This window comes from Homo sapiens, chromosome 2 (assembly GCF_000001405.40).
Source record: "Homo sapiens chromosome 2, GRCh38.p14 Primary Assembly".
NCBI lineage: Eukaryota > Metazoa > Chordata > Mammalia > Primates > Hominidae > Homo > Homo sapiens.
In genome coordinates this window covers 18,069,118-18,077,857 of record NC_000002.12, presented here as the reverse complement: position 1 = coordinate 18,077,857, position 8,740 = coordinate 18,069,118, and the positions used below count along the sequence as shown (strand labels likewise).

Below are 8,740 nucleotides of genomic sequence, written 5' to 3'. Positions count from 1 at the left end.
ATATATGTGAGCTTAGGTGACTCATATTCCCTCTCTGGGCTGCAGTTTTTGCAAATGAGGAATTTGAACTAGAAGATTTATTTTTAAGGACACCACCTTCTCTGACATGGATGAATAACATAAAAGAAAAGCCATAAAACTTTTACATTCAGATATGAAGAAGTAAAAGATTATTATAGCAAGGATTCACTTCAATATTTAGAATGTGAAAAGGCCCTTTGAGGAAAGGGGAGGCTTGAGCTAGCTGGCTGCTTCCATGCTACTCTAGAAGAGAAAATGGTGGGAGCTCTGAAATATCCACTCCAAAAGGCTCCAAACCCCACATCCCACATGTGTACATTCCCCTGGAATTAAGATCCCAGGCAAAGCCCTGGGAAGACTTTCACATAATAATCCCTGGAGTTATTTCAAACATTAATCAGGACACTTAAAGCATAACAAAGAGATAAAAAGCCCTTTTCTAGTACTATTTAGAAGCAGTTGCCAAATGGCAAAATACCTTTGACTATTTTCTGTTACAGAGTTCTGTCACTGGGGGCTGTCACTGGAAAAAGCAATGAGTCAATGAGAGTGAGTCTGGAATTTTGAGTTGAAGAAAAAGTTGCGTCCATGGTAGGCCCTGGAATATTTCTGTTCAGCCTCTCTAACGACAAACACTTTTTCCTTGACAGGTTATATCAACCCCAAAGTCTGAAGCAATGATCAGGTCTGAGGGGAAATGATAGCTTCACACTGGAAACCAGGTTGTCTTAACAGGACAACCAAGGTTGGAGCTGGCTTTGGAAAATGTCTGGCCTCTGAAGTGGATCCTTTGGTAGTGGTGGATGTCAGCAGAGTCTGGCATAGGGGCCCCTCTGTGGAGACCAACCTTCGGGAACAGGCTGCCATGCTGGACAGAACAGGAGACTGGGCTTTTCCTTCTGCCGCTTTTGAGACTTTTTTTCTCCCTTCCTGGCTTTAGGGAGTCCTGGGCTGGGACATTCACACCAGGGATTTTTGTAGCTTCTCTAGTAATTTAGTTGTTTAATTTAGACTTGCCCATTCCTTGGGTTAGAAATATTTAACTCTTAGCTCTCTTCACTTCTTGTGTGTGTGTGTTTTTTTTTTTTTTTTAAAAAGAAAAATAACTTGGGTTTTTGGAGAAAATTACATGAAAGATGGGAGGAAAGGGGTATCTTTTTCTTATACACAATTATTGTGAATATAAATTCATAAAATTATTTGATGGGCAAACTGATAAAATGAGTTTTATTGACTGCATATATCCTTTGGTTTAGGAGTCCCCTAGGAATCCACCCTAAGTAAATAATCATAAAAAGTATATTAATATGTGAAAAGGTATTCATTGCAACATGATTTATTTGAGTAGCAAAATGGCAATAACCTAAGTATTCATCATCAGAATGGCTAAATATATTTTAGCACAACCACACAAATAGAATATTAATCGGACATTTAAGATATGGAATACTTATGATACATATGACAAATATATTAATATTTATATAAATATAAGGAGAGAGATTTGGAAATATATCTAGTTTATAATTTAACTTAAAAGGCATGTTAGACATTAATAAATATACTAAGCTATTTCCATAAGGAATACTTATATTTCTCTATTAAATAAAGCTATAAGGTAATCTCAAAACTGTTAAGCTGATTAACAAAAGGTAATCATTGTATGTATTACAATTTCAATCAGCAACAGTTATACCATAGCAATAATAGATTAATTATATCATGTTCTCAGCCCTGGAAGAAGGTCTGGCCCTGGTTATTGGGCTGAGAAGGAGGAGTCGGGGGAAGGCACGGGAGAGGTAGCTATAGAAATAAGAGCATCTGCTAGAAAGGGTCTAGGGAATAGAGATGTACAATAGCCAGCTCCCAAAGGAGAGGATGTAAGATGATGCCTTAGAAACCTACCAGGAAACAAAGGAAGGGGACAAGAAGACACCTACCAAGTGTACCTGCCGGGAGCTAGTGGGTGCTGCTTCACCCTGACAGGATGCAGGATGGGGCCAGGCCTGAAAGCTTTTTGACCCAAGGGAAACTACAAATCCATGCTTTGCAAGTTGAGTTCTTTTTATCCTTTTATCATCCAGGTGCCTTCTCTTAATCCTTTCTGGGTTTTTTTTTTTTTTTGGTGTGTGATCATGGTGGATTAAAAATGGCCACAATCTCTACCACTTCTCCCATCAAAATGTGGAATCTAATTCCTCTGCTGTGTGATATTGAGCCAGCCATGTGACTCGATTTGGCCCAAGGGCCATGAACAAACTTGACTCAAGCAGAGGTTAATACGTGCTTGTGCACTGGGGCATGTCCTCTTGGGGTTCTGCTTTGAGCTAGCTCTGCTGTAAGGAAGCTTCTAGCCCCCTGGAAGATGAAAAGCTATGTGGACAAGGACCAAGGAGCCCAGGCTGGTCTTTGTGCTGATAGGGACAGCCAGCACCCCCTGCCACACATGTGAGTGAGGTCATCTTAGACAATCCAGCATTCGATTCATCATCTGTCATCATAGAGGTGAGCCCAGGAGAGACCACAACACCCTAAGCAGCAATAAATAATTTATGTTTTAAAGCCAAAATTTGGAGTATTTTTAGTGCAGCCATAGATTGTGGATATAGGAGTTATTAATGTTCCTTTTGTAAACTCCACTGAGTCTCAGTTGTACTATGAAGTAACAACACTGGTCATAAAAGCAGAAATTAAAACACAGAAACGGTGAGACTGAGGCCAGACCATTTTACATTTACCACCACTTCCCCAAACCTGGAAAGGGAATGCCCTTCCAGAGCTCCTTTCTGCTCAAAGATTTAAATCTTTCAAAGAAATCTTACCTTACAAACCATTTTACCCTGTAAGGAGCATATGAGAAGCCTTTTTGATTCATGAGCGGAGAAAAAAAAATGCCATTATTTAATAATAATAAAATTGGATGACATTTCTTAATCACTTGCAATGCAGTAGGACTGGAATAGGCACTGTCATCCTCATTTTACAGATGGAGAAACTGAGCCTCAGAGAATTTGAGTAACTTGACCGAGCTCACACAGCCAGCAAATTGCAGAGCCAGGCTTCAAACTCAGATTCGCTGATGATAATACCCTTACTGTTAGCCACTATCCAAACCTTCCTCTCAAGTTGTGTGCCAATTTCCTTTTATTTTCCTGAACAATCCACTCAGATGGGAAATGAGTCACTTAAGTTTCTGAATCTGCTTTCTCACATATATAATTGAAGCAGTGACCGTGCTTATCTCATAGGGTTTTGATGAGGATTAAATGAGATAGCAAGTGAAAGCCCATAGACACCGTACCTGGCCTGTCATCAGCAATTAGTGGTAAATAGTTGCAGTGACAACAATGGCAGCAGCGAGGGCAGTGGAACCAGCAGCATGATTAGTCTCAAAGGGAATGAGAACTCACTGGTCTAGTTACATCAGTTGCTGAAGGGAGACCGTGTTTCAGTCCTTGACTTAGATCCACAATTCAATGTCTACTGCAAATCCCTCAGATGTGCCTGATGCTTGCGGTGTAAATCACCAAGACTCACACTTCAGCTTCTGAGGATGAGGGGACAGGGAGGCACCAGGAATCACTCCCCCTACAATGAACAGACCTGCAGTTCTTTGCTTGTCAGGGCCCTTGTGAGCGGATGCAGGATCTAAATTCGATGTTTCTGTTGGGCCAAGACAGGTACAGGGTCACGTGCAGAGTCAGTGCACTGTGGGCTCTGCTGATCATCACCTGGGCCCCAAAATTGTGTTTTGGCTCTCACCTGTTCACTCCGTCACCTTTACATTTATGCTGTTCAGATGAGCAGCCAAATGAGAAGTTAATTGGGTTTTGTCTGAGAGATTGTGACGTGTGCATTGTCACCTTGCTTTTGTAACTGGGAACATTTTTTTAAAGGAGGCAGAAGCCTAGAGTTCGCTAAGAGGCATGGAGTGCTTCCATAGCCCTGCCCTGCAGATAAAGTCCATGCATTTTAAATGCCATCCAGTTTCCTCTGCAGCAGATAATTCTCCTGTCATCACCAAGAAATCCTCAGCTGTCTGACACTCTCCCTCCCCCAAATACAAAAGGCCTTTGGGAAACTGAAAGATTCCATTTATTTCCTAAAACACTATATTCCCTTTATCATCCACCCACAGCTCTTCATTCAGAAAATGTAGAGAGGGTGACTGTCAATGTATTGACAATCAAATGTCTTTGGAATCTAAACAAAATTGACTTTAACCTCTAGTCCTCATCCTAGGGAGGTTCAATGTTCACCCCAAGACATCTGCAAATTCCCAGGGCCTAACAATTCCCAGGGCATCTCATTTTCATCTCTTTGTCCTTCTGAACCTCCTCTTTGCTGGGCTCTTGAATAGCTCTCCCTCCCCTGCTCTTCCCACTCCAATCATTCTCTTCTCTCCTACCCACTGATCCAAAATAGAACATCACCACTTTTCCCTGATTTCCTCAATGTTGAACTCTTGAGACAGCTGTGTGTATTGAAATTTTCTTAAACTGCTGGGCTGGGAGTAGGGGGAGATCACATACAAACAACACAGATGATCAACTTAATATAGAACACTTAAACCTTCCTGTTCTTCAAAAACCCATCTGCCAAACCTTCCTTGGGGGACTTTCCACTGATCATATTTATGTCTAATGCCTCCCTACCTCTTACAAAGGACAGTCACCATTTTGGGAGGCCACACACAACTGAAAATTCCCTTCAGTGTCTTCTGCAAGAACGTCCAGTTTTCTTTTGGTCTCCCTTCCTCCTGCCTCCTTGACCAAGGGGATCCAAATTCAGACTTGTCCATCCATGTGTGTTTCTAAACAAAGACATTTCTCCTTTGGAGAAGAATTCTAATGTCGTAAGTTTTGGTTAATACTTTCTAGGGGAAGTTGCCTTGTGGAGTGAAAGAAGCTGTGAACTAGGAACCAGAAGACATTAGTTTGAATCCTGGCTCTGCTGTTTCCTAAGTTTTGGCCGAGAAAAATAACTTAATATCTCTGAGCTTCTTTCTTCTTTGGAAAAATGCATCTAATGAATCCCTTACAGGGTTCATATTAGGGCAAGCAAAAGAGTGGCTATAGAACCTAATCACAGTGCAAGTCTGAGTGTGATTCAGAAATGATTGTTATATGCTAGACAGTTTGGGTGACACATAGCAACTATTAAATAAGCTTGCCCCACTCTCATAAGCTCACACTTTAGTTGAGGAGGGCAGGAGACGGAGACCCTCTGCAAGGGGGCCAGGAGCCCAGAGGAGGGGGAGATCCCTGCAGGGTGGGAGTGGAAGAGGAGGCTTCCTCCAGGGATGGGCGGTGGCTCAAGCTGGGCCTTGAAGGGTATGATGAGGGGAGCAGCAAGACCATTTCAAAGCAAGAGGAAGATGAGACATTGGGATCACATTTCCCATTGTCAGGAGATAAACTCAAGGTCTGTGTGGGCTTCTTAAACTAGAGGGTAAACAACTTTTTTGAAATTCTGATGAAACCTCTGCATCCTGTACACAGAACATTTTGCACAGCATTTCAGAAGGCTCACTAACTCTGAGTCCAGGTGAAAGGCCCTTGGTTTCAGAGCTTTATTCCCCTGCTTCCTTAACTCCCATGTTTCCCTCTTTGAATCCCAAATTTTTCAACCTTAGGATGCATCTCCACTGAATTTTCCTGGACTGTTTCTATGCATAGGAGATATTGTGGTTTCACATAGCCTAAGAAATGAGACCCCTGTTTCATGCCCAAGTTCAGAACTAATTAAGAGAGAAAGGAAAAGGAACCAGGTAGATGAAGACCAAACATTACCCTTATTAGTGAGAAAATGTGTTTTGGATAATGTGGCTTAGAAATGTGTCAACTGTGAAGCTCCTAACACTGCCTGTCCCCAGGTTAGGCGTTGGGCCAGCACACTGGAGGGAAATACTGAATGTACAGAGCACACAGGCTTATTCAGGATCACAACCATGCACTACTTGAGGAGAAGAGAGCAAAAGGAGAATGGATTCCTCTTGATTGGGACATTTGATAAATTCTCTCTGCCCAATCAAGAAACATACAATCATTGTTTCTTCCTTAAAAAAGGACTCTTTTGTTCATGTCCTTTGCAGGGACAGAGATGAAGCTGGAAACCATCATGGTCTTCTCCCATGATAACACATTAATACATTAACCTGTTAAGTCATTAATCCATTAATCCATGAGGGTAGAGCCTTCATGATTCAATCGCCTCTTAAAGGCCCCATCTCCAAATATAGCCACATTGAGGATTAAGTTTCAACATGACTTTGGAGGGTGCATTCAAACAATAGCATCTTGTAACATAGAAGTGGTAGATTATGGAGAGAGAGAATTGTGTTCTTCTTGTCCTGGATGCAACATCTTGGATTCACAAATAAAACCAGAAGGCAAGAGTATAGAGGTACCAAATGAATTAATGGCATTGGAAAATACAAATGTTTAGTCAATAAAAAATACACAAATGGTAATAATGAACAGCTGCTGGCTAATAGGCTATCAATGATTATAGAGCCAATATTTCACCAAAAAAGTTGAAAATAATTTTATGCCAGTAGCTCAACAAAATATAGAATTGTGGATTAATGGATGACACGGATATGAAGCAGAGGGTATCTGTGAAAGTGCCTACTTGATTATGAAATCTGAACTGCTCATAATTTTAAAAGAGATGCTTCCAAGGAAATATAAAAGAGATTCAGCACAAACCCTCCCATACCTCCTTTGAATGGCAGAATCAAAGGTAGACAGAAAACTGGTAACAAAGGAGAATTGCCCAGTCTGGGCTGGATAACAAGGCCAAGCTATCCTGCATTATGAAGTCCAGGCTCAGTGAGACAAAGACAGAGGCACCATGCAGGCTGGCTGGCTGGGAAGGTAGCAGCACCCACTATGACCAGTGTGATCCAGGGCAGGATATTGGGACATCACCCTGGAGATGACATCACCCCACAGAGAAAATTCAAGAAGAAAGAGGATCCATGGAACAGCCTGGGTTCAAGATGAGGAGAAAAAAAACACCAAGTTTGGAGGTTAGATGCAGATATAAATGGTCCTGTGCAGTTTCATTTGACAGTGTTTGTTTATGTCAGCACCCTTTCAGAAACCCTTGGGCTCTTCTTTACATTCCCACAAGTGCATTTGTAACACTTTTAAAAGAAAAGCATATTGCTTTTGGAGCTTGACAGATACCATCTGATAACACACAGGGAGAAGACACTCCAGCGTGTCAAATAAAAAGAGTGCAGATACAAACAGATTTTTGGATACAACATAAAAGAAGATACAGGAAAATGAAATTTATGGGATGTATTTCAGTAGCTACATTGTAACCAAAGGAATAGGAACATCATGTTGCCATTTATACCTGAATAGGGAAACTACCAATCAAATAGACATGTGTGAGATGGTGAAGGGGATGGCAGTAGATAGGGAGTAAAAATGAAATCTATTGATTAAAACCACAAAGAATTAGCTGAAAAATGTGTGTATGGCAGTAGGTCAATGAAATATAGAATTTCTAATTTCATGCCTTTTGCCACTCTGTCTTTAAAGTCTCCACTCGTATCTCCCGCTTCCCCTCTCATCCAAGTATCCCACTGTATTTCAGTCTGACAAGTTCTTAAATCAGGGGCTGAGAAAGAGAAGGCGGTTTATAGCTCCTCAATACCACCAACCCAGTCATTATTCAGAAGTAACAACTGGGATATATTCTACTGTTGAGATATAAAAGGTTTTGAAAATAGAATAGCATTCAATGCTCAAGCAGCTGGGATGTTTTATAACTGGAGAATAAAAATATCTACTACTTCCCTCGAAGAGACTCAGTAGCTGTATATATTGCCATATATTCTTAGTATCATAACTTGAAACCGTTTCACTAACTCAAAATTCCAGATAATTTCAGGATATATATTATAGAAATAAAAACTACTGAGGTTGCAGTTGGAAGAGACCTCCCATATCAAACTCCTCTGGTTTAGAAGGTAAAGCAATGAATTTATATGTATAGACTTTGGTAAGCCTATATAGTTTAAGATCTCCCCAAAATCTAAAAGAAATGCAATATGTTTTAGTTAATGACAATTGTAGACAATTGTCTTTGGGGAAGAAAAATGAATGGACATAGAATAGCAGCTTTCTCCAGTTTATATTAAACCATGTAAGTAATTTAAGATTTCAACTTATTACCCCAATTTATTCTTAAACTAAAACAATTTTCATTAAAATGCCTTTGGTCCTATCAATTTTGAAATTGAAAACAGCTTTTAAATGCTGTGGCTGGTAGCAGTTTAGATTGGCACAACCCATTTTCAGGTAATGAGTCAATTACCTTTGGCCACTCACTCCCCTAGATTCAGAAGCTTCTCTTAAAGTGGATAGCCACTGGCTTGGGGATTGCATTTGCAATATTCCTAATATTTCAGTAAGATAAGATCCTCAGAATGCGATGCTACGACCTAGCTTTGCACTAGAATCCAGAGGACTGGAGACCACAAAGAAGCCAACATGAGACTGCCAAATAAGAAAAGATAGTTACAAAGAAAAGGACCAACTGAGAGAAAACAAAGTAAAACAAAAGTAAATCAACAACTAAATTTAAACAAGCCTGTAAATAAAATGAAATCTAATGGTATGAAGCCTTCCAAATCAACAATTTGAAAAAAAATTTTGCTCCAGATAAAATTAAGTTTATAAACTAATCCAAGAAAATATTA

The 8,740-nt window shown here is 40.3% G+C and overlaps 1 annotated feature.

The window, feature by feature from the left end:
• Positions 2,358 to 2,564: a silencer, noted in NCBI's record as "fragment chr2:18256560-18256766 (GRCh37/hg19 assembly coordinates)". NCBI's record gives its function as "represses an EF-1alpha promoter that drives an FKBP-Casp9 reporter gene in an ReSE screen in phorbol 12-myristate 13-acetate-treated (for megakaryocytic differentiation) K562 erythroleukemia cells {active_cell/tissue: K562(+PMA)}" and the evidence as "EXISTENCE:reporter gene assay evidence [ECO:0000049][PMID:32094911]".